This window comes from Homo sapiens, chromosome 5, assembly GCF_000001405.40.
Source record: "Homo sapiens chromosome 5, GRCh38.p14 Primary Assembly".
NCBI lineage: Eukaryota > Metazoa > Chordata > Mammalia > Primates > Hominidae > Homo > Homo sapiens.
Window position 1 is genome coordinate 134279953 of NC_000005.10, and position 26511 is coordinate 134306463.

The 26511-nt window shown below is 40.2% G+C and overlaps 1 protein-coding gene across 28 annotated transcripts in view, besides 1 other annotated feature; it reads right to left on the reverse strand.

Moving 5' to 3' along the window:
- Nucleotides 1-3392: 3392 nt before the first annotated feature.
- The window catches only part of CDKL3 (cyclin dependent kinase like 3), an 88280-nt gene continuing 65161 nt past the window's right edge, over nt 3393-26511 (reverse strand). For 21 of the 28 annotated variants that reach the window (XM_024446093.2, XM_024446099.2, XM_024446101.2 and 18 more), the window contains 4 exons: nt 24453-24615; nt 22638-22735; nt 22188-22258; nt 18472-18758 (listed from right to left, as the gene is read on the reverse strand). In XM_024446093.2, the coding sequence (XP_024301861.1) occupies nt 18725-18758; nt 22188-22258; nt 22638-22735; nt 24453-24615 (366 nt within the window). In that variant the 3' untranslated portion in view covers nt 18472-18724. Of the gene's footprint in view, nt 6608-18471; nt 18759-19472; nt 19799-22187; nt 22259-22637; nt 22736-24452; nt 24616-26511 lie in introns of those variants that run through there. The other 7 variants (NM_001300853.2, XM_017009534.2, NM_001113575.2 and 4 more) reach the window with 5 other exon arrangements.
- Nucleotides 4633-4833: a silencer, noted in NCBI's record as "peak5475 fragment used in MPRA reporter construct". NCBI's record gives its function as "represses an SCP1 promoter by STARR-seq MPRAs in K562 erythroleukemia cells {active_cell/tissue: K562}" and the evidence as "EXISTENCE:reporter gene assay evidence [ECO:0000049][PMID:32103011]".

A 26511-nucleotide genomic window follows, 5' to 3' on the forward strand; every position in this document is an offset into this window, starting at 1 on the left:
CAGCCCAGGCAACAAGGGTAAAACTGTCTTAAAAAGAAGAAAAGTCTGTATTTTGCCCTCATTTTTGTCACAGAATATACGATTCTAGCTTGGCAGCTATTTTCTTTCAGTACTTCAAAGGTGTCATTTCATTGTCTTCTGGATTTCATCATTTTTGTTGAGATCAGCTCCTTTAAAGGAAACATGACTTCTTGCCTTTTAGATTTTCTTTTTATATTTGAATTAAGCAGTTTCATTATGATGTGCTTAGGTGGGGTTTTCTTTCTTTTTTTTTTTTTTGAGACGGAGTCTCACTCGGTCGCCCAGGCTAGAATGCGGTGGTGCTGTCTCGGCTCACTGCAACCTCTGCCTCCCAGGTTCAAGCAATTTTCCCACCTCAGCCTCCCAAGTAGCTGGGATTACAGGTGCACGCCAGCACACCCGGCTAATTTTTTGTATTTTTAGTAGACATGGGGTCTCACCATGTTGGCTAGGCTGGTCTCACCTGGTCTCAAGTGATCTGCCCACCTCGGCCTCCCAAAGTGCTGGGGTTACAGGTGTGAGCCACCATGACCAGCCTAGGTGGGGTTTTCTTTGTATTTTTCCTGCCTGGGGTTTACAGAGCTTCTTAAATACATAAATTTTTGTCTTTCATCAGTTTGGTAGTATTTTTGGACATTCTCTTCAAATATTGCTTCTGCCTTATTTATTTATTTATTTATTTATTTTATTTATTTATTTTTGAGATAGAGTCTTGCTCTTTCACCTAGGCTGGAGCGCAGTGGCTCAATCTCAGCTCACTGCAACCTCCACCTCCCGAGTTCAAGCGATTCTTCTGCCTCAGCCTCCCGAGTAGCTGGGACTACAGACACGTGCCACCGTGCCTGGCTAACTTTTGTATTTTTAGTAGAGATGGGGTTTCACCATATTGGCCAGGCTGGTCTCGAACTCCTGACCTTGTGATCCACCTGCCTCAGCCTCCCAAAGTGCTGGAATTACAGGCGTGAGCCACCACGCCAGCGCTTCTGCCTTATTTTCTCTCTCCTCTTCTTATGGGAACCTAATTATACTTAGGTTAGATCTTTCCACTCTGTCTTGAAGGGGAAACAAACTATGTGTTCAGACTGTTCATGTCTCTGATGTTGTCACTCTAGCTGTATGAAACTACTAGAAAGTTCTGTTAGTTTCTCTGTACCGTAGTAGGGGCCCTCTTCCAGAGCTAAGTCTGAATTCTCAGTTTTTTTCTTGTTTCAAGAATCAGTCTATATTCCCCAGGAAAAAGCCACTGCAAACCATCAGCTCAACTCTCTGGAATTATCCCCTCAAATCACTATTACATCATCAGCTCTCTGCCTTTAAACAGAAATTTCTTGCATTTCACCTGGCTTTAGTGGTTCTCAGTGGATGTTTAATTTTGTTGCAAACTATCATATCTAGAAGCATAAGTATCTTACGCCATATGTTTTGAGACTGCATTTTTATTATCATTTTCTATGTATTATTTTATTATCATTTTCTATGTATTATTATATGGAAATTATTATCTAATTTCCATTATTATTTCTTCTTTGACACCTTCAGAAAGTATTTTTTAAAATTTCGTATATATGGGGCCGGGCGCAGTGGCTCACACCTGTAATCCCAGCACTTTGGGAGGCTGAGGTGGGTGGATCACCTGAGGTCAGGAGTTCGAGACCAGCCTCATCAACATGACTAACCCGTCTCTACTAAAAATACAAAAATTAGCTAGGCATCATGGTGCATGCCTGTTATCCCAGCTACTTGGGAGGCTGAAGCAGGAGAATCACTTGAATCCAGGAGGCAGAGGTTGCAGTGAGCCAAGATCATGCCACTGCACTCCAGCCTGGGCAACACAGCAAAACAGTGTCTCAAAAAAAAATCATATAGATGGGTTTATATGGGTTATTTTTCATATTGGGGCAAAGTGTTTTCTTATATATTAAATCAAACTTAAATATTGTGTTATTCAAATCCGCATCCATACTTTTTCTTTGTTTCCTTGTCAGTTACTGAAAGAGAAGTATTAAGAATATCATGCTATGATAATGGATTCTTCAAGTTCTCATGTTCACTAAATTTATGCTTTATATATTTTGGTGCAAAAACTTCTTGGCTTTTATGCCTTCTCAGTGAATTAAATAATCATATGTAGTGTCCCTCTTTATGTACAGTAAGTTTTTTGCTTTATAATTTGTTTTTCCTGATAATATAGAGCCACACTAACTTTTTTCCCTGTTTGCCTGTTATATCTTTTCTAACATATATTTTCACTATTTCTGTGTCCTAATGTATATACATGTTTTTTGAGATGGAGTCTCGCTCTGTCGCCCAGGCTGGAGTACAGTGGTTCCACAGCTCACTGCAACCTCCGCCTCCCGGGTTCAAGCAATTCTTCTGCCTCCTCTTTTTGAGGAGTAGGTTTTTTTTCTAATTCACTCTTTACTTAGGGTAACACTTTTTACAGGCTCGACTTCATGCACAGTCTCCAACATAACTTCCAAACTTGCTTACTAGGTTTATCTCCTTCCACCTGGGTGACCTGTTCAAACCAGTGCTCTAAACCACCAGTAACTTTGGGCCTTTGATGAGAGGTTTCACAATTGGAGTTTTTCAGGATATGCAGTATACATTTAATCAGATACCCACCACACATATTTCCAGAAATGAAAAAGTAGATTGCTTTTTCTTTCTTTCTTTCTTTTTTTTTTTTTGAGATGGAGTCTCGCTCTGTCACCCAGACTGGAGTGCAGTGGCACGATCTCGGCTCACTGCAACCTCCGCCTCCCGGGTTCAGTATTACTGATCATTTTTAACATTATTCCTTAATTCTTCAATAAGTCTCCAAACTACCAAGGTCATTTTGAATTTAAATTATTTGTTCCATACACATTAAGGTACATAATCATATAAAGGCACTGGGGGTTGGGTGATAACGGTTTGACAACTCTAACTTCCAAGAACTAATAGTTTTGTTGATGACACACACAAATTAAGAGGTAACTAGCATCACAAAGCAGGATGTAAAACATAGTATAAACAATGGAATATGGGAACCTAGAAAAAAAGGAGATTGCCTTTCATAGGAAGAGTCCAGGTCACGCAAGGAAGACTACATAAGCTTAAACATGAAAAATTAATACAATTTGGGAGGATCAAAATTTGTTAGAGTAAGTCAAGTAGGCCTGATGACTGAATGGCTATCAGATACATGGAAGCTGAAAAAATTAAGTTAATGCCAAGTTTCAAGCCAAGGAAAACAATAGTACTACTTTTAAAAACAAGAAAAGCTAAGAGAGAAAGATGGTTTGGGGAGAAATTAATACAGTTTAGATATGGTAAGTGTTTTAGTCTGTTTTCTCGCTGCTGATAAAGACATACCTGAGACTGGACAATTTACAAAAGAAAGAGGTTTATTGGACTTACAGTTGCACATGGCTGGGGAGGCTTCACAATCATGGTGGAAGGCAAGGAGCAGCAAGTCACATCTTACGTGGATGGCAGCATGCAAAGAGAGAGCTTGTGCAGGATAACGCCCCCTTGTAATAACCATCAGATCTCATGAGACTTATTATCACAAGAACAGCATGGAAAAAACCTGCCTCCAAGATTCAATTACCTCCCACCAAGTCCTTCCCACAACACATGGGAATTCAAGATGAGATTTGTGTGGGTACACAGCCAAACCATATCATTCCACCCCTGGCCCCTCCCAAATCTCATATCCTCACATTTCAGAATAAATCATGCCCTCCCAACAGTCCCCCAAAGTCTTAACTCATTTCAGCATTAACTCAAAAGTCTACTCAAAAGTCCACTTGCCTTATCTGAGATAAGGCAAGTCCCTTCCATCTATGAGCCTATAAAATCAAAAGCAAGTTATTTACTTCCTAGATACAATGGAGGTACAGGCATTGGATAAATACAGCCATTCTGAATGGGAGACATTGGCGAAAACAAAGGGGCTACAGGTCCCATGCAAATCCAAAATCCAGTGGAGCAGTCAATTATTAAAGCTCCAAAATGATCTCCTTTGACTTCATGTCTCACATCCAGGTCACACTAATGCAAGAGGTGGGTTCCCATGGTCATGGGAAGCTCCACCTCTATGGCTTTGCAGGGTACAGCCTCCCTCCTGGCTGCTTTCATGGGCTGGCATTGAGTGTCTGCAGCTTTTCCAGGCACACAGTGCAAGCAGTCAGTGAATAGTGGGGGAACCAGCCCCCAATATTTCAACGTAGGTTCTTTTCTATTTTCCCTAAGTGTTGGTCTGTCTGAGAAATAGAGAAAGAGTACAAAAGAGAGAAATTTTACAGCTGGGCCTCCGGGGGTGACATCACCTATTGGTAGGCTCCGTGATGCCCCCTGAGCTGCAAAACCAGCAAGCTTTTATTAGGAATTTCAAAAGGGGAGGGGGATACGAACAGGGAGTAAGTCACAAAGATCACATGCTTGAAAGGGCAATAAAAGATCACAAGGGCAGAGAGGCAGAGCAAGATTACAAGGCCAGGTGAAATTAGAATTACTGATGAGGTTCCATGTCCTGCTGGGCACACAGTGTCATTGATAAACATCTTAACAGGAAAGAGGGTTCAAGAGCAGACAACCGGTCTGACTAGAATTCGCCAGGCTGGAATTTCCTAATCCTAGCAAGCCTGAGGGCACTGCAGGAGACCAGGGCGTATTTCATCCCTTATCTTCAACTGCACAAGACAGATACTCCCAGAGCAGCCATTTTAGAGACCTCCCCCTGGGAAGGCATTCCTTTCCCAGGGTTATTCCTTGCTGGGAAAAGAATTAAGCAATATTTCTCCTATTCGCTTTCTGCAAGAAGAGAAATATGACTCTGTTCTGCCTGGCCCCACAGGCAGTCAGACCTTATGGTTATCTCCCTTGTTCCCTGAAAACCACTGTTATCCTATTCTTTTTTAGGATGCCCAGATTTCATATTGTTCAAACACACGTTTTACAAACAATTTGTGCAGTTAACGCAATCATCACAAAGTCCCGAGGCGACATACATCCTCAGCTTACGAAGATGATGGGATTAAGAGATTAAAGACAGGCATAGGAAATTATAAGAGTATTGATTGGGGAAGTGATAAATGTCCATGAAATCTTCACAATTTATGTTCTTCTGCCATGGCTTCAGCCGGTCCCTCCGTTCGGGGCCCCTGACTTCCCGTAACAAGTGAGTCTACCATTCTGGGGTCTGGAGGACAGTGGCCCTCTTCTCACAGCTCCACTAGGTGGTGCCCCAGTAGGGACTCTGTGTGGGGGCTCCAACCCCACATTTCCCTTTTGCACTACCCCAGCAGATGTTCTCCATGAGGGCCCCACCCCTGCAGCAAACTTCTTCCTGGACATCCAGGCATTTCCATACATCTTCTGAAATCTTGGCGGAGGTTCCCAAACCCCAATTCTTGACTTCTGTGCACTCACAGGCTCAACACTACAGGGAAGCTGCCAAGGCTTGGGGCTTGCTCCTCTGAAGCCACAGGCCAAGCTCTACATTGGCCCCCTTCAGCCATGGCTGGAGCAGCTGGGACACAGGGCACCAAGTCCCTTGGCTGCACACAGCATGGGGACCCTGGGCCTTTCCTCCTAGGCCTCTGGGTCTGTAATGGGAGGGGCTGCCGCAAACGTCTCTGACATGTCCTGGAGACATTTTCCCCATTGTCTTGGGGATTAACAGTCAGCTCCTCATTGCTTTTGCAAATTTCTGCAGCTGGCTTGAATTTCTCCTCAGAAAATGGGATTTTATTATCTATTGCATTGTCAGGCTGCAAATTTTCTGAACTTTTATGCTTTGCTTCCCTTATAAAACTGAATGCCTTTAATAGCATCCAAGTCACCTCTTGAATGCTTTGCTGCTTAGAAATTTCTTCCACCAGTTGGGTGCAGTGGCTCATGCCTGTAATCCCAGCACTTTGGGAGGCCAAGGCATGTGGATCACGAGGTCAAGAGATTGAGACCATCCTGGCCAACATGGTGAAACCCCGTCTCCACTAAAAATACAAAAATTAGGTGGGTGTGGTGGCACATGCCTATAGTCCCAGTTACTCAGGAGGCTGAGGCAGGAGAATCACTTGAACCCAGTAGGCACAGGTTGCAGTGAGCCAAGATCATGCCACTGCACTCCAGACTGGTTATAGAGTGAGACTGTCTCAAAAAAGAAAAAAAACAACAACAACAAAAAGAAATTTCTTCCACCAGTTACCCTAAATCACCTCTCTCAAGTTCAAAGTTCCACAATCTCTAGTGCAGGGGCAAAATGCTGCCAATCTCTTTGCTAAAACATAACAAGAGTCACCTTTGCTCCAGTTCCCAACAAGTTCCTCATCTCTATCTGAGACCACCTCAGCTTGGATTTTATTGTCCATATCATGATCAAGCTTCTGGTCAAAGCCATTCAACAAGTCTCTAGAAAGTTCCAAACTTTCCCACATTTTCCTGTCTTCTTCTGAGCTCTCCAAACTGTTCAAACCTCTGCCTGTTACCCAGTTCCAAAGTTGCTTCCACATTTTTGGGTATCTTTTCAGCAATGCCCCACTCTACTGGTACCAATTCACTGTATTGGTCTGTCTTCATGCCGCTGATAAAGACGTACCTGAGACGGGACAATTTACAAAAGAAAGAGGTTTATTAGACTTACAGTTCCACATGGCTGGGGAGGCTTCACAATCATGGTGGAAGGCAAGGAACAGCAAGTCATGTCTTACATGGATGGCAGCATGCAAAAAGAGAGGGAGCTTGTGCAGGAAAACTCCCCCTTGTAATAACCATCAGATCTCATGAGACTTACTATTATGAGAACAGCACAGGAAAGACCTGCCCCCATGATTCAATTACCTCCCACCAGGTCCCTCCTACAACACGTGGGAATTCAAGATGAGATTTGTGTGGGGACACAGCCAAACCCTATCAGTAAGGCTGAAGAAACAGCAAAATGATAAAGTGGAAACATTTAGCAAACATATAGAGACTGTAGCTTCAGGTAAATGTCTGTGGAAGAACTACAAATTTTGGAGAAATACCCTCAGAGGTGGTAGCCAAGCTATAAGAGTAACATACTTCTCTCAAGGAACAGGGAAGAGTGGAGGCCTTAAGAACTGCCAGGGAAACAGGTAGGAAGAAAAATTATCAGTAGAACAGAAAAGCACTTAGAATTAAGAAGAAAATGATGACATGTGACAAAAAAGAAGGCGCGCTTTGAGGAGGAAAAGATGATTCATAGTGTGAAATGTGACACAAAGATCAGGAAAAATAAGGATTTTTTAAAAGTCACTGAATTTGACAATTAGGTGATAACTGGTGCCCATCAAAAGCAAGTTTTTATTACTCTGGTGAAAACAGAACCCTGACTCAATTATTTAATGGATCGAATTTTAATTTTATTCTTCAAGGGGTGTTAAACACAAGAGAGTGTTCCCTATCCTTGTGACTCTATTCTGTGTTCCTTCTTCCAAAGGAAAGGTAATGAGTGCCACACAGCAGCAACCCACTGAGCAACCAGTTGTATCCCCTTTCACTTATGACAACTTCACGTGGTCAAAGGACTTAGAGCCAAGACTCCCAATCATCACATGGATGCTACCCAACAGATTTCAAGACCTAGCCAATTGATTGCCAATTCAGCTGCCCCTGCCACTGCCATTGCCATAACCTACTTGTTTGCATGAGTTTTGGTGGCTATGGAGAACCAAATAGGAGCAATCCTATCAGCAGAGGCATATTTATTGAAAGCCAATGTAGTCCCTCACTTGCACAGGCTGCACCCAAAGCCATGGAAACAGCCCTTCTAATTTTGCCTTTGAAATTTTGTGTTTCCTCCTCAAAAAGAGCCCTCATTTAAAAGTATCAGCTTCCATAAAACCTGGATCTGCCTAAATTAACCAGTAACTCATCTTCTCGACACCTTACCACAGCTATGTTTGTAACTTTACTTTTTTTTTTTTTTTTGAAATGGCGTTTCACCCTTGTTGCCCAGGCTAGAGTGCAATGGTGCAATCTCAGCTCACCACAACCTCTGCCTCCCAGGTTCAAGTGATTCTCCTGCCTCAGCCTCCCGAGTAGCTGGGATTACAGACATGTGCCACCACACCCAGCTAATTTTGTATTTTTAGTACAGATGGGGTTTCTCCATGTTGGTCAGGGTGGTCTCGAACTCCTGACCTCAGGTGATCTGCCCGCCTTGGCCTCCCAAAGTGCTGGGATTATAGGCATGAGCCACCAAGCCTGGCCTGTAACTTTACTTTTAAAACTCCACTAACACTCAAAAACTCTGAGAAAATCCAATGTAACCCCAAATGATAAAAGTTGGAAAGTGTTGAGCTAAACTTGCTTTTCTCAGGGTGGAAAAGAATTACAGTACTAGTATCTCTTTTTTGACATGGTACAACTCTAACTGGGTCTCCAGAGATTAATTTTCTTCCAAACCACAATAGCGGACACATTATACAGCTCTCTTTTAAAACTGTAAATGCCATGTTTTTTCTTGTATTTAATGAAACACTTTATGCCTGCAGAACAGATAACTCATGCCAACTTTATGTCTAAATAAATGGTGACCAGTGCACAGATACCCTAGGAGTTTCACAGGCAGTATGCAACAAGAGTAGAGGACACTTTCAGACCTAATTTATTCCCAAAGGGAATTAAGTCAGGATAAACTCAGATAACTCGCATAACAAAACTTAAAGACCATAATTCTTCATCCTTGAAGAAGACACAGAGACCCAGTGAACTACTAAATTTCATCACTACAAACCCACTGTGTCCTGTGTGTGTTAAACCTTGAGTCCTCACAATATCTCTAGGATAAGCTATTTTGTCCCCATTATCCAGCTGGGAAAACTGAGGCAGCAAAGCACCAAACAGGTTTCCAATGAAGAGGTGATAAAAGCATCTGCCTTCTAACTCAGGTAATCTGATACTAATCTGGACTCTCATAATATGTGACTTTAAATAAAAATGGAATGTTTGTTCAATAAACTTTTTTTTTTTTTAAAGAACCAGCCTGGCCAATATAGTGAGGCCCTGTCTGTATGAAAAATTTAAAAATGAGCCCAGCATGGTGGTGAACACCTGTACTCCCAACTATTCAGGAGGCTGAGGCAAGAGGATTGCTTGAGCCCAGGAATTTGAGGCTGCAGTAAGTTATGATCATGTTACTGTAGTTCAGCCTAGACAGCAGAGCAAGACCCTGTCTCATAAAAAAAAAAAAAAAAAAAAAGGAAAGAAAAAGAAAAGAAAAAATCCCCAGGAGTTTGCAGGTACACTTTCAATAAATATTCTGATACCATCACATTTTCTGTTTGAAGAATAGAGAGAAATTAAAGAAACCAATTTTCCAAACTCAACAACAATCCAAGGAATCCAACAATATTGATGGCAGAATTATTATATAATAAATCCTGTTGTTAAAGTAATTTCATGAGGCATCAGATGCTTTTAACATTATAATAATACTGTTCAATGTAATAATGAGTAGCCACAAAGAAATTACTCAGAGATGCCCAAGAGTAAATGTTGCCTGAAATGTGTATAATCTAGGTCTTGGTTTGAAATGTCCTGAGACTTTGGAGGAAACCAAATTCCTAGCTTGCACTTTTGTTGCATTTCTCATCTAGGGGATTTAGACCAAAAAGCACAGCTGTATTAGCACCCCATCTTCATACATTAGTTCGTCCAACAGGAGACCAAATGGCTTGTCCTCTGTTAGGGTCAGAGGGTGACTCCAGCTCTTGAAAATGCTGGACTGTGGGCTCCCTCTGGAGGAGACTATGATAATCTGACTTCGAAGAGAATTTCAGGATCATCCTCACTCTCTTGAGCAAGAGGGGCATACAGACCATGTAACAGCTACTGGAAACAATCAATACAAAGTACTGTTATCCAGAAAATGAAATTAATACTAACATGATACACAGTGCATATTCTACCCCACCGGTAAAATTATATTTCATTCTTCTGTTTTTTTTCCTCAAGTGACTTACTATGTGGAGTGCTTAATAAATCCATTCATTCGTCACAGAGCAAATGTTAATGTGTGCCAATATATGTTATGCATTGTTCTAAGCATGGAGAATACAGCAGTGAACAAGACGTTAAAACTTTGCCTTGGCCAGGCGCAGTGGCTCACACCCGTAATCCCAGCACTTTGGGAGGCTGAGGCAGGCAAATCACAAGGTCAAGAAATCAAGACCCTCCTGGCCAACATGGTGAAACCCCATCTCTACTAAAAATACAAAAATTAGCTGGGCATGGTGGCACATGCCTGTAATCCCAGGTACTCGGGAGACTGAGGCAGGAGAATCTCTTGAACCAGGGAGTCGGGAAGTTGCAGTGAGCCGAGATTGCGCCACTGTACTACAGACTGGTGACAGAGTGAGACTCTGTCTCAAAAAAAAAAAAAAAAAAAAAAAAAGGGTTTGTCTTGAACTGGAAGGAGGTGAAGAAAGAAATCGTGTAGATGCATGAGGAAAGAGATTTTCTAGGCAAAGGAAACAGCAAGAGCAAAGTTTCTAAGGCAGAAGCATAACCATTGTGCTGCAGGAATTGCAAAGGGGCCAGTGGGCCTGGAACAGAATGAGCAATAGGGAGGAAAATAATCAATGGTGTCAAAGAAGGGGAGAGGCATACTGTGTAGGGCTGTGTAAGTTATTGTGATGTCTGTGGCTTTTACTCTGAGTGAAGTGGGAAGCCATGAGGGTTTTGGGCAGAGCAATGACATCATCTGATTTAAGTTTTTTTTTTTAATTTTTTTGTAGAGATGGGGTCTTGCTATATTGCCCAGGCTGATCTCAAACTCCTGGCCTCAAGGGATCCTCTTACCTCAGCCTCCCAAAGTGTTGGGATTATAAGTGTGAGCCACCACACACAATCTGACTTAAGTTTTATTAAGAACACCCAGGCAGTGCATTGAAACTGAAGAAACTGAAGAACAAGAAACTGAAGGTTGAACAGAGGTGAAGGCAGGAGATCAGTTAGGAGACTTCTACAAAATCCAGACAAGAGATGTTGTGAATAGCAGTGAAGGGGTATAAGGTGGTCAAATCCTGGAAATATTTTGAAAATAGAGCTGAAAGGATGATGTAGGGTATAAGAAAAAGAGAGGAGTTGAGGATTACTCCAAGATTTTTCTCTTGAGCAATTAGAAGAATGGAGTTACCCTTAACTAACATGCAGAAAACACTCAAGGAAGCATATGGAGTGAGGAAGAGATCAGGACTTTAATTTTGGATATGTTAAGTTTGAGATACCTATTATATATTTTAATATAGCTGTTGAATGGGTAATTGGAAATCTGAGTTTGGAGTTTGTGGGTGAAGTCCAGGCTGGAAGGAGAGATTTCAGAATCATCAGCATATAAATGGTATTCAAGGTTATGTGTCTGGATAAAATTACCTGGGGAGTATAGACAAAAAAGAGAAGAGGTCTAAGAAGTGAACCCAAATGTGTGAACTACGAAACATCATATCTCTTGCTTTCCCATTGTTTACAGATTCATCAAACTATTATTAAGAGAAACTAACCAGGCTGGGGACAGTGGCTTACGCCTGTAATCCCAGCACTCTGGGAGGCTGAGGCAGGCAGATAGATCACCTGAGGTCAGGAGTTCGAGACGAGCCTGGCCAATATGGTGAAACCTCGTCTCTACTAAAAATACAAAAGTAGCTGGGCATGGTGGCGTACACCTGTAATCTCAGCTACTTGGGAGGCTGAGACAGGAGAATCGCTTGAACCTGGGAGGCAGAGGTTGCAGTGAGCCAAGATCATGCCATTGCACTCCAGCCTGGGTGACAGAGCAAGACTCCATCTCAAAAAAAAAAAAAAGGAACTCTTTAACTGAGCTTCTAGTGATAGCCATGTTGGAGTAACACGTATCAGCTTTACCTTAAATAATAATAAAACTGTATAAAATATATAAAACAACTGTTTTCAGGCATGTGATAACAGGTAAGGGTGAATTTTATCAGGAATATTATAGCTCTAAATATATATGCAGCTAATAATAGAGCTTCAAAATACATAAAGCAACTGATGAAAAGAGCAACAGACAAATCCACGATTATAATTGAGGATTTCAACAGTCTTCCCTCAGCAATTGATTCAAAAAGTAAACTGAAAATCAGTAAAGATATGATATTTAAATGCACCATCAACCAACTTGACCTAATTGACATTTATGGAATGCTACACCCATTTTCAGCAGAATATACATTCTTCTCAAGCACAAATATTCACTAAGATAGACCATATGCTAGGATATTAAACAAGAATCAATGGATTTAGAAGGATTAACATAATATAGAGTATATTCTCTGACCACATTGAAATTGAATTAAAAATCAGTAACAGAAAGATATTTGGAACACCTCCAAATAGATGGTAATTAAAAACAGATTTCTAAATAAATGGATCAAATAAAAAATAAAAAAGAAAGTTGGGAAATACTTTCACTGATGATAGGATAACAACATTTAAATTTGTAGGAAGCAGCTATAAAAGGAAATTTAAAGTTTTAAATGCTCATATTAGAAAAGAAAGGTCTCAAATCAATGACCGCAGCCTCCACCTTCAGAAGCTAGAAAAAGAAGAGCAAATTAAAACCAAAATAAATAGAAAGAAGAAATAATAAATATAAGAACATAACTCAATAAAATAGAAAACAAACAATAGAAATAATAAAACAAAAAGCAGTTCTTTGAAAAGATTAGCAAAGTTGATAAACCTCTATCTAGACTTACTAATAAAAAAAAGGAAGAGAGAAAACACAAATTATCAATAACAGGAATGATAAAGGGAACATCACCATAGATCCACCAACTTAAAAATGATAACAAAGGAAAATATTAAACAATTTTATGTCAATACAACCAGCAACTTAGTTGGGATGAATCTATTCCTTGAAAGAAGCAAACAAATGGATACAAGGAAGAAAAGAAAATCTGAATATCTCTATTAAATAAATGTAAGGAAATTAAATTTGTATATTAAGATCCTTTCACAGTGAAAACTCCAGGCCCTGTTGGCCTCACTGCCAATTTCTTTTTTTTTTTTTTTTTTTTTTTTTTTTTTTTTTTGAGACGGAGTTTCACTCTTTTTGCCCAGGCTGGAGTGCAATGGCATGATCTTGGCTCACCACAACCTCTGCCTCCCAGGTTCAAGCAGTTCTCCTGCCTCAGCCTCCCAGGTAGCTGAGATTACAGGCATGCGCCACCACGCCCAGCTAATTTTGTATTTTTAGTAGGCACGGGGTTTCTCCATGTTGGTCAGGCTGGTCTCAAACTCCCAATGTCAGGTGATCTGCCCGCCTCGGCCTCCCAAAATGCTGGGATTACAGGTGTGAGCCACCACGCCTGGCCTCTCACTGCCAATTTCTAACAAACATTTAAGGAGGAAATAAAATCAATCCTACACAAATTCAGGAAATGGGGGAGTGCTGGGGGGCAGGAGAATACTTCCTAATTCATTTTATAAGCAACATTAACAAAGATAATAAAACTAGACAAGGACAATACAAGAAAAAAATGAACCAAAATCCTTCATTAATATAGATGCCAAAATCCTTAATAAAATATTAACCATTTCAGTGCTTTGGAAGGCCGAGGTGGGAGGATCACTTGAGGCCAGGAGTTCAAGACCAGCTGGGGCAACATAGCAAGACCCTGACTCTACAAAAATAAAATTTAAATATTAGCTGGATATGGCGGTGTACACCTGTAGTCCTAGCTACTTGGGAGGCTGAGTTGGGAGGGCGGCTTGAGCCCAGGAGTTCAAGGCTGCAGTGAGCTATGATTGTGCCACTGCATTCCAGCCTGGGTGGCAGAGTAAGAACTTGTCTCTACAAAAAAAAATTTTTTAAATAAAATAGGCCAGGTACAGTGGTTCAGCCTATAATCCCAGCCTTTGAGAGGCTTAAGCAGAAGGACAGCTTGAGGCCAGGAGTTTAAGACCAGCTTGGACAACAAAGCAAGACTCCATCTCAACAAAAATAAGAAAATGAAAATTAGCTGGGCATGGGGCACATGGCTGCAGTGACTACTTGGGAGACTGAGGTGGGAGGATTGCTTGAGCCTAGGAGTTCAAGATTACAGTGAGCTATAATCACACTGCTGCACTCCAGCCTGGGCCACAGAGTAAGACTCTGTCTCGAAAAAATAAATGAAATAAAATATTTATCAATTGAATCCAATAATACATAAAAAGAATCAAATGGATTTTAATCCCAGGAATGTAGGGTTGGTTTAACATTCAAATTTCAATTAATATAATTCACATTAACAGAATGAAGGAGGAAAATCATAAGACCATCTAAGTAGATGAAGAAAGGGCATTCGACAAAATTCAACACCCATTCATGGTAAAGACTCTCAGGAAACTAGAAAAGAGGGAACTTTCCTCAATCTAATAAAGGTAATCTACATAAGACCTATAGCTAGCATCATACTTAGTGGAATAAAAATGCTTTCCCTCTGCTACAGGAAAAAAGCAAATGTCCACTGTCATGACTTCTGCTCAAAATTGTATCACAAATACCAGCCAGTGCAATAAGGCAAGAAAAAGTAACACAGGCATAAACACTGGAAAAGAAGAAGCGAAACTATTATTATCTGCAGATGTCATGATTGCCTATATAGGAAGGCATCCTATATAGGCCAATTTATATAGGAAATCCTAAGAATAAACAAAGAAGATGAAGGAGAAGAAGAAAGGAAGGTAGGAAGGAAGGAAGGGAGGGAGTCAGGAGAGAAAGAAGGAAAAACAGAAACTTACCAGAACTAATAAGTGAATTTAGCAAGGTCTCAGGATACAAGATCAACACAGAAAAACAAATTGTACTTCTGTATATTAGCAACAAATAACTGGAAGATGAGATTTTAAAAAGCAATACCATTTACAGCAGCATCAAAAACCAAAATATATAAAAATAAATTTAACAAATGATGTATCAGATTGCTACAGAAAACTATAAAATATTGAGGAGGAAAATTAGAGAAGATCTAAATAAAGAGTTTGTATCATGCTCGTGAATTGGAAGACTTGATTTTTTTTTCTTTTTTTTTTTTTTTTTTTTTGAGATGGGGTCTCAGTCTGTTGCCTAGGCTGGAGTGAAGTGGTGCAATCTCGGTTCACTGCAACCTCCACCTCCTGGGTTCAAGCAATTATCCTGCCTCAGCCTCCCCCAAGTAGCTGGGATTACAGGTGCCTACCACCACATACAGCTAATTTTTTAAATTTTTAGTAGAGTCAGGGTTTCACCATGTTGGCCAGGCTGCTTTCAACTCCTGACCTCAAGTGATCTGCCTGCCTCGGCCTCCTGAAATGCCAGGATGACAGGTGCAAGCCACCATGCCTGGCCTTGATATTGTTAAGATATCCATTCTCAAATTGATGCATAGATTTAAAACAAGCCCATCAAAATTCCAGTAGGCATTTTTGTAGAAATTGACTCCTGAAAATGGACAATCTTTGACACTGGAGTAAGGATCAACAAATATATGAATACAACAGGCAATCAGCAGATTTATACCTGTTGAACCTACCACAGGAATAACTCTTGATTTCCCTAGAGGAGCAATTACTTTTGCACCAACCTAATAGTTGCTGAGGCCACCAGGGAGTCTGTTAGAAAGGTATATTATGTATAATGTCCTCAGCTATCAATTCTAATCAAGCTTTTTTGAGATTAACAGAGATCACAATATTATAATAAGTTATGTTTTCCTTTGTTTTTCATGTTTCTTTAGTAAATATAAAATGAGGTAGAGTCCTGGTAAAACACCAGTTAATCCAATTTTATTATTTTTTGAAGAACAGGAAGATTCAGAATTTTGGTAGTGCTGGGTTGTACATTGTATACTTTATGAAATAGAACAAGTCTGTACCACATAGAAGGCATTATGAGATGGAACTAGGAAACTAGAAGAATGCTGACAATTTTTTATTTTTTATTTTTTTAGATGGAGTCTCGCTCTGTTGCCCAGGCTGGAGTGCAGTGGCACAATCTCAGATCACTGCAACCTCCACTTTCCGGGTTCACGCCATTCTCCTGCCTCAGCCTCCCAAGTAGCTGGGACGACAGGTGCCCACCACCACACCCAGCTAATTTTTTGTATTTTTTAGTAGAGACGGGGTTTCACCATGTTAGCCAGGATGGTATCAATCTCCTGACCTCGTGATCTGCCTGCCTCGGCCTCCCAAAGTGCTGGGATTACAGGCGTGAGCCACCACACCCAGCTGAGTGCTGACAATTATTTAAGAGAATATGTCATCCAAAAGACCACCAAGATGGCTAAATAGTAGAAAAAAGGAATTTTATTGGTGATACCAGTTTGCAAACCAGGAAAAGACAATCTCCAGCATGGACTGAAGGTGCTTTCTCTTCAAAGAGGAAAAGAGCAGGTTGGGTTTTATGCCTTACACGGCCTGTACAACACAAGACAGTCATACATATTCAGCAGATTTGCAGGGAAAGTTTTACATATTTATGAGAGGAACAGAGCACATGTGCAATGGGCAAACACATATAAATATAATATACATCCCATGTTCACTTTGGAATGGGACTTCAAGCATTAAGATGAGGTAGAATTTGTCTCTTTACATCAAAAGGTGAACTATAAGACATAAAGACAGTTTGTGCAGCCTCTATAAACTGGCTGAAACTTACTTAAGGTCTATAGTTGCTTATCAGGAAAGAATGTTTGCGTCAAGGCGTGCTGGCTCATGCTTGTAATCCCAAAACTTTGGGAGGCCAAGGTGAAAGGACTGCTTGAGGTCAGGAGTTCAAGACCAGCCTGGGCAGCAGAACAAGACCCTGTCTCTACACACACACACACACACACACACACACACACACGCACGCACACACACGGATCTCTATTCATTCAGAGGTGTAGTAGTCTAGGTTGTAAATCAGGATTAGGAATTTGCCTGACAGCTCCTGTTGTTAGGGAGTTTAGCAAGAGTGTGGTTTTTCTTTTTCTTTTCTTTTCTTTTTTTTTTTTTTTTTGAGACTTGGTCTCACTCTTGTCTTCCAGGCTGGAGTGCAGTGGCCCCATCCAGCTCACTGCAACCTCTGCCTCCCGGATTCAAGTGATTCTCCTGCCTCAGGCTCCCGAGTAGCTGGGATTACAGGCGTGCACCACCACACCTGGCTAATTTTTGTATTTTTACTAGAGACAGGGTTTTGCCATGTTGGTCAGGCTGGTTTCGAAGTCCTGACCTCAGGTGATCCGCCTGCCTTGGCCTCCCAAAGTGCTGGGATTATAGGCGTGAGCCACCGTGCCCAGCAAGAGTGTGATTTTTCTTACAGCCTAGGAATTTAGAAAGTTGTCATGCAAGCTGAGCCCTAAACCCTCAACCCAGAGGTAATTTTTGTTTCCTTAACGTTAGGGTCCATCTTAGTTGATAAAGTGGCACCTATTTTGGTCCCTCAGATCACAGATAAAACAATTTAACATTTGAATACCACATTATTTTTAAATATTTTATAAACATTATATATTTTCTTTATTTTTAGACCAGAGATGCTGCTAAATTATAAATAAGTGCTTTCATTGCTGACCAACAGAACATATTTTTAACCATGTAATGTAATGAATAGTTTTTTCTTTCTTTTTTTCTTTCTTTTTTTTTTTTGAGACGGAGTTTCACTCTCGTTGCCCAGGCTGGAGTGCAATGGCACGATCTCGGCTCACCACAACCTCCGCCTCCCGGGTTCAAGCGATTCTCGTGCTTCAGCCTCCCGAGTAGCTGGGATTACAGGCATGTGCCACCACGCCCGGCTAATTTTTGTATTATTAGTAGAGATGGGGTTTCTCCATGTTGGTCAGGCTGGTCTCAAACTCCCGACCTCAGGTGATCTGCCCACCTCAGCCTCCCAAAGTGCTGGATTACAGGCATGAGCCACTGTGCCCAACCATGAATAGTTTGTGTGTGTGTGTGTGTGTGTGTGTGTGTGTGTGTGTGTGTGTGTGTGTGTGTGTGTTTTGAGACAGAGCCTCACTCTTATCTCCCAGGCTGGAGTGCAATGGCATGATCTTGGCTCTCTGCAACCTTGGCCTCCCGGATTCAAGCGATTCTCCTGTCTCAGCCTCCTGAGTAGCTGGGATTACAGCTGTGCACCACCACACCCAGCTAATTTTTGCATTTTTAGTAGAGATGGTGTTTCACCGTGTTGGTCAGGCTGGTTTCGAACTCCTGACCTCAAGTGATCCGCCTGCCTCAGCCTCCCAAAGTGTTGGGATTACAGGCATGAGCCATTGCACCCAGCCATGAATAGCTTTTAAAACAACGGCTCAAATATTTTATTAAGAACTCATTTAAAGAGGCCTGTGTGTTATAGGAGATAACTGACTCGAAGTTATGTGGCTACAAGAAGGCAGAGATCATTAAGTATAAGTACAGTTTGTATCATGTCACGGCTTGTGTTATCCACTCAGTAATCATGGCAAAAAAAAGAAGTAGGCAGAGAAGAGATGACTTTATAATTCCAAATCAAATTATCACATCAACAGAGTCTTAAAAGGGAAAAGAAAACAGTAAATGTTTTGCTAACAAAAAAAGCTGGATGATGCTCATGCACATGGATGGCTGTCTTAACAACAACTCACATCACACTTCTATTGTAGATAAATAAAACGGGAAGAGTTGTCATCTTGTATTTTTTGGACTATGTAAAAGAAAAGACACTACCAGAAAAAAAACCTGTTTCTCTTCAAATTCTTCCCCTCGCAATGGCCATCTCCACCCTAAAATTAGAAACCAAGCTAGTAAGAATCAGGGACTGGAATGTAAATATATGCTACCAAAACTCTGACTTTATTAATGCTAAATTACATGTAAATTACTAAATTATAAACATGCTAGTCAAGCCAAAAGATTTGCTTCAATGCCTTGCTCAACTTCCATCTTTTTTTTTGCGGGGGGCAGCGGGATGGAGTCTCGCTCTGTGCTCAGGCTGGAGTGCAGTGGCGTGATCTCGGCTCACTACAACCTCCGCCTCCCGGGTTCAAGCAATTCTCCTGCCTCCACCTCTGAGTAGCTGGGATTACAGGTGCACGCCACAATGTCCGGCTAATTTTTTGCATTTTTAGTAGAGATGGGGTTTCACCATGCTGGCCAGACTGGTCTCGAACTCCTGGCCTCATGATCCACCTGCCTCGGCCACCCAAAGTGCTGGGATTACAGGCGTGAGCCACCATGCCCGACCAATTTCCATCCTTTTAAACAATCTTCATGATATGTTTAAATGCTGCTCCAGAAAGTTCAGTGTAAAGCCAAACCCATGTTACATGGTTATCAAGTATATTTGTTTGCTCAGAAATGTTTGGTGTTCCCAGACATCAGGATCTTACTTTATCACATATTTAGAAACTTTTCCTTCTGTAATTATAAAGCCCTAAACCAATGCTAAGAATGACCACTCATCAAGTATGATTGAAATAATAGGTGATCAAATAAAATTATATGACTAAATGTAAGCTGCAATTTTATTAGGATGTACCAGTCAGGTAGTTTTTATAAATTCATGTTCAAATTAAGAAAACATGAATAATTTAAAGATTAATAAATTTAAAAACAAATTTAGGTGAATGTACATATAACTAACAGGATTTACGATATACCTGTAAAATTATCTAGTTAGCATTTTTGTGTATGTAACATTAATAAAAAGGATTTTTAAAAAACCATACAGTGATTCTGGGATTCCCTGAATTTTCAGCTGCTGCATTTTCTACTCTACATCTGGCAAGTTCTTCTTCCTTTCAGTTTGTGCATTTCCTGTATTCTAAAAAGTAAATAGAAACAGGTCTTTAATTGAGGACATGGTGAGTCTTTGGCTAAGGAAATACAGCCAGAGATAAATACTTGTACTTTGCCCCTATGGGTTGTTTCATAAGGTACAGGGAAACTATTTAGCAATGTATTCCTTATCATTATCATCCAACAAAACAAAAGGTGGCCTTTGTATGGACTCTTTTCTCTCTTGCCTAACTCACTCATTCCCAGTAATTTAGTCTCTCTCTGGTTATAGAACCTATTCAATGCATGCACGCACATTTGAGATAGCTGAAAGAGTTTAAAAAGTAAACCTGGCAGGGCGTGGTGGCTCACACCTGTAATCCCAGCACTTTGGGAGGCCAAGGCAGGCAGATTACCTGAGGTCAGGAGTTCGAGACCAGCCTGGACAACATGGTGAAACCCCGTCTCTACTCAAAATACAAAAATTAGCCAGGCATGGTGGCAGGCACCTGTAATCCCAGCTACTCAGGAGGCTGAGACAGGAAAATTGCTTGAACCCAGGAGGTGGAGGTTGCAGTGAGCTAAGATCACACCACTGTACTCCAGCCTAAGTGGCAGAGTGAGACTCTGTCTCAATAAATAAATAAATAAATAATAAAAAATAAAGTAAACCTGAGAAGTGCTTGGATCTGATTGTATAATTCGAAAACCAAGTCAATACAGAGCCAAGAATAGAAAAAATAACTAGCAATTCCCTATCTTATGTTTTTAAAAATATGTCATATTCTTTCATGCTCTAAAATAAACTACAGGCTCAAAATTTAAGAAATGTTCTTAATTCTGACATTTATTAAAACCAGTTGTACTAGCCTTTTATGCAATTTCAGTCACTTGTCAGAGCTGCATTTGAATAAGCAGTACAAATAAACTATAATCAACACTGATGACTTCATTTTTTCTGGAGTTCTATATCATATGAACAAGAAGATGTTTTCCCTCCTTAATTTATTATTTATCCTAAAAATCACAGAAGGGTCTTTTTTCCTGCAGAGTTCCTTTTTTCCTGGACTAGAAAGTAATTTTAGTTCCTGGGGACTCTCACAGGACAATGGGATAAACACATGAGGCACATTAATAGTCTGCCTACCTCAGGAGCCCTAACTCACCCAATGATTGAAAAAATGTGCAAATGGTATGCTGTGCAACGTGCTGTGACATGAGTATGTCACCCAAATTTAAAAGTTTAAAGCCACCTTATTACTTTTTATAATGAACCGAAAGATGACTATTAATGGATTTTTTTTTTTTTAAACGGAGTTTCACTCTTGTTGTCTAGGCTGGAGTGCAATGGTTTGATCTCAGCTCACTGCGCAACCTCCGCCTCCCAGGTTCAAGCAATTCTCCTGCCTCAGCCTCCCGAGTAGCTGGGATTACAGGCATGAGCCACCACACCCAGCTAATTTTTGTATTTTTAGTAGAGAAGGGGTTTCACCACATTGGCCAGGCTGGTCTTGAACTCCTGACTTCAGGTGATCCACCCTCTTCAGCCTCCCAAAGTGCTGGGATTACAGGTGTGAGCCACTGTGCCCGGCCTAATGGCATTCTTGTTCTACAACATTTCTTCTCTGCAAAGTGGACTGTGGAGTTCTTAACAAGCTCTAGGCCAAGACTAAAGAGATAGCCCTAAATGTCACAGTGAGAATACATCTAATAGTGTCTGATAACCCTCTATCCAAATATTATAGAGATCAAGTAGCCTTGTTAAAATGCCTTCTTACAGAGTTTCAGATTTTTTAAAATATTTTTAATTTCTTCAAATTTTCTTAATAAGTATTTACTAATTTTATCATGAGTAAAACTGTAATAAATTTTATTTTTTAAAAAAACAGAAGTTGGGCCAGATGCGGCGGCTCACACCTATAATCCCAGCACTTTGGGAGGCCCAGGCGGGTGGATCACGAGGTCAGGAGATCGAGACCATCCTGGCTAACACAGTGAAACCCCGTCTCTACTAAAAATATTTTTTAAAAAAAATAGCTGGGTGTGGTGGCGTGTGCCTGTAGTCCCAGCTACTTGGGAGGCTGAGGCAGGAGAATTGCTTGAACCCGGGAGGCAGAGGTTGCAGTGAGCCGAGATCGCGCCACTGCACTCCAGCCTGGGCAACAGAGAGACACTCCGTCTCAAAAACAAACAAACAAACAAACAAACAAACACAAAAACAGAAGTTGATAAATCACATACAGAGATGACCTCACAAGTGTAGAATAGGAGGCCATCGATATGATTTAATTCAGTGGGTGCTCAGCACAATCTCTCTCTCTTAAAAGACTGTCTTTATAGAGCATTCATTTGGATATTACAGGCTTCAAGATTTTCAAATAAAATTTGAGAATCTCTCTGGTGGGTAGGGACTGGGAATATTTCAACAAGATTACCTGATAGTTAGCTGAGAGCAAATATTTGTGAAAATAGGACAGCAGGCAGACAGCAGAGATAAGGGAATAAACTGGAGAGAAAACGAAGGAAGGAAGAGGCTTAAAGGCAAAGACACACATGCTTGTGGCCATATAACCATATATTTATACCATTATTCATTTTCACTAGTCTGACTTACCTGCCTGATATCTGACACTACACACAATACAGATAATATTTTCCCTGGGTGCCATGCATTCTAATCATTCAACATTACCCACCAAAAAATAACTTTTAGAAACTTTTATTAATGGGTTATTCTAGGAAAATATAGATCTGTTTCTTTAGTTCAAAGATTATAAAATTTTGAATTTTTATATAGCTTTCCAATAGTAATAACTAAATTTATACACTGAGTCAAGTCCTCTAAACAACATGCCTTAGTAAAAGCTATATACAAAAAGAGTTACCTCTTGTTTTTCTTGATTTTGATCCACGTTAAGTAAAGTTGGTATCTTAGATGACTCTGTTTTCTTTGACTCCCTCTTCAGCATTTTTATCTGTTTAACTTTTGCAAAAATATACAAAACAATGAAAATTTGTTATTCCTACTTTGAAATTTTACTTTCCTTTCCAAGAATTTCAAATAGAAATCCACTAAGTCAGTTTCTCAGTTTATTACAAAGGAACAAAATAAATTATGAGTTGTAATGGTAAAATATGGTAAATTATTTGTTTTATAACTTTACAAATAGTCTACTAAGTATTAAAATAAGACATTTATTTTATTTTATTTTATTTTATTATTCTCAGTGTAACTGTTAAGTGGATCAGATAATTCCTCTTGAACTGTACAAGGATGATATTCTTGCTATTATATTAATTTTTCACAAGGTGTCACTGTTCTTCAAAGAAACATAACATTTATTCAAGACAAAAGTGCGTTTCATTCTGATATAAATCTTAAGTTCATAAATTTTTTTTTTTTTTGAGATGGAGTCTCACTCTGTCACCCAGGCTGGAGTGCAGTGGCGCGATCTCGGCTCACTGCAACCTCCGCCTCCCGGTTTCAAGTGATTTTCCTGCCTCAGCCTCCCAAGTAGCCGGGATTACAGGCATGAGCCACCATGCCTGGCTAATAGAGATGGGGTTTTGCCATATTGGCCAGGGTGGTCTCAAATTCCTGACCTCAGGTGATCCGCCCACCTTGGCTTCCCAAAGTGCTGGGATTACAGGTGTGAGCCACTGTGCCCAGCCTATAAATCTTATATATTTAATCCTTGGATGCTCAAAATACATATAAAATTTCTGCTACTATATGGGTAAATGATCATGAAGAAACATAGAAAGGCAATTTACCCCAGGTCATATACTAAACAAATTTCTCAAATACTATTCTAACATTTCAACAACATTGAGCTAATAAAAAATTTATCCTTTGCAGCCAGCTGCAATGGCTCACGCCTGTAATCCCAGCACTTTGGGAGGTTGAGACAGGTGGATCACCTGAGGTCAGGAGTTCGAAATCAGCCTGTCCAAAATGGTGGAACCCCCCCCCCGTCTCTACTAAAAATACAAAAATTAGCCAGGCGTGTTGGTGGGCACCTGTAGTCCCAGCTACTCAGGAGGCTAGGCACGAGAATCACTTGAACCTGGGAGGTGGTGGTTGCACTGAGCTGAGATTGCAACACTGCACTCCAGCCTGGGCAGCAGAGTGAGACTCTGTCTTAAATAAATAAATAAATAAATAAATTTTAATAATTTACCTTTTAAAGCTGTCTTAACCTCTCTTTATTTTTCTTTTTAATTAAAAAAAAATTTTTTTTTTTTAGAGACAGGGTCTCATTATGTCATCCTGGAGTGCAGTACAGTGGCGTGATCATGGCTCACTGCAGTCTCAACTTCCTGGGTCAAGCAATCCTCCTACCTCAGCCTCTGGAGTAGCTGGGACTACAGGCACACACCACCACACCAAGCTATTTTATTTTTTGTAGAGACAGGGTTTTGCTATGTTGCCCAGGCTTGTCTCAAACTCCTGGGCCCAAGCAATCCTCCTGCATTGGCCTCCCAAAATGCTGGGATTACACGCCTAAGCCTCTTTAAAATTATCTCCTTAAAATCATACCCCTTATTTGACAATGGGGAGAAAATCTCATCAGCTGAAATGTTTTCCTCACCAATTTACTATTTTCTACCTAAATCACACTATAAAATGTAAGTTATATTATGAAAAAATCTTATAAATGATATCATCATAATTGTAAAGCTATGCAACAAATGTGTACCTTCCATTCCTTTTGTATCTTTTGACTGTATTGTGACAGGCAATTCTGGAAAATGGAATTCTTTCCTGTCAGATCTGGAAAAATTCAGCTTCCTTTTGTTCTCATTTGCCATTTGGTCACTGTGACCTGTTCGCTCATTAAATATACCCTTCTCCATTTGGCTCTAAACAAACAAACAAGAGTTAGTTGAAGAAATGTGTCTAACTATTTGTAGAATGACAATCCTAGAATTGCTAGCCATTTGGATGGTATAAGATAGACATAACAATTAATTTAATAATTAAGAAGATTTAGAATAGAACACTATTGAACATATCAACAGATCAAACTCCAATAAAAGTTTCATAAAGCAAACATTTCTAGCATATTTAATATTCTGAGCATAATAGTCTTGGTCATGAGAACCACAATAATAATAATAATAATAATATTATTATTATTATTATTATTTTGAGTGCATTGGCATGATCATGACTCATTGCAGCGTCAACCCCCTGGGCTCAAGTGATCTTCCCACCTCAGTCTCTTAAGTAACTGGGACTACAGGCACATACCACCATGCCTGGTTAATTTTTAAATTTTTCGTAGAGATGGGGTCTTGTTAGGTTGACTAGGCTGATCTCAAACTCCTGGGCTCAAGTGACCCTTCTGCCTTGGGCTCCCAAAATGCTGGGATTACAAACATGAGCCACTGCATCTGGCCTTATTATTATTATTATTATTATTATTAAGACAGAGTCTTGCTTTGTTGTCCAGGCTGAAATACAGTGGCGCCATTACGGCTGCAGCCTCAACCTCTTGGGCTCAAGCCATAGTCCCATCTTAGCCCCCGAGTCTGAAACCACAGCCACATGCCACCACACACGACTAATTTATTTTATTTCATTTTTTGTACAGACAGGGTCCGTTATGTCGCCCAGGCTGATCTCAAATTCCTGGGATCAAGCAATCCTCCCAGCTCAGTCTCCCAAAATGCTAGGATTACAGGTGAGAGCCACTGTGCCTGGCCAGAACCACAAACTTAACTTTTCATTTTTAATACTATTCACTGCACTCTGACTTTGAACAAATTGCTTCAGTTCATTTTCTTAATAACTTCTTTATCTACCTAGAAAATGATATGCTTTGTAAACACTGGGAAAACCCAAAGGAAAAAATGTATTGCACATCCAGCATCTGGGAAACCTTCTGTGTTACCAGATTTTTGTTCATTTGAAAACAGATGATAAAATCTTGTCTAGATCAATGAACACTCTTCCACAATGTAATGTTTAGTATTCCACTGTATGAATGTACCCTAATGTACTTAGTCATCTGCTTTTGGACAGGTTTGTATTGTTTTCAGTTTTTTGTTATTATAATTAACATTGTGCTTCAATTTTGAATAAATCAATTTCCTATGTAAAAAGTTGTGAGGTCCCATTAGCGATGAATAATGCAAAATAAGCCAAAAACAAAACAAAACAAAAGTTGGGAGGGGGATGAACTACATCGATTATTTTGATTATTTTTTCTAGTGAAAATAAGTTGTGTTTATTTGGCAATTGTTTTTAATCCATAAAGATATTAAAAACATTTTTTGGGAGTGAAAAAAACAAAACTTCTTGTGACTTTCAAAGGTGGAAATCTTAACTTACTCTGCCTAAGTCACATGTTAAATACATAAATTAAGATATATGAACTTAATTAATTGTGATAAATTAAGATATATGAACTTAATTAATTGTGAAAGCACTTAGAAAATAATGGCCTATTTTCAACTCAGGAAGAAAAAAAGAAACTTAAAGCACATTTTTAGAAGTGTTAGAGGCTGGGTGCGTTGGCTCACACCTGTAATCCTAGCACTTTGGGAAGCTGAGGCGGAAGGATCCCTTGAGCTCAGGAGTTTGAGACCAGCCTGGGCAACATAGTGAGACTTTGTCGCTACAAAAAAATGAACAAAATTAGCTGGGCATGGTGGCATGTGCCTGAAGTCTCAGCTACTTGGGAGGCTGAGGTGGGAGCATTGCTTGGGCCCAGGAGGTCGAGGCTGCAGTGAGCTGAGATCGTACCACTGCAC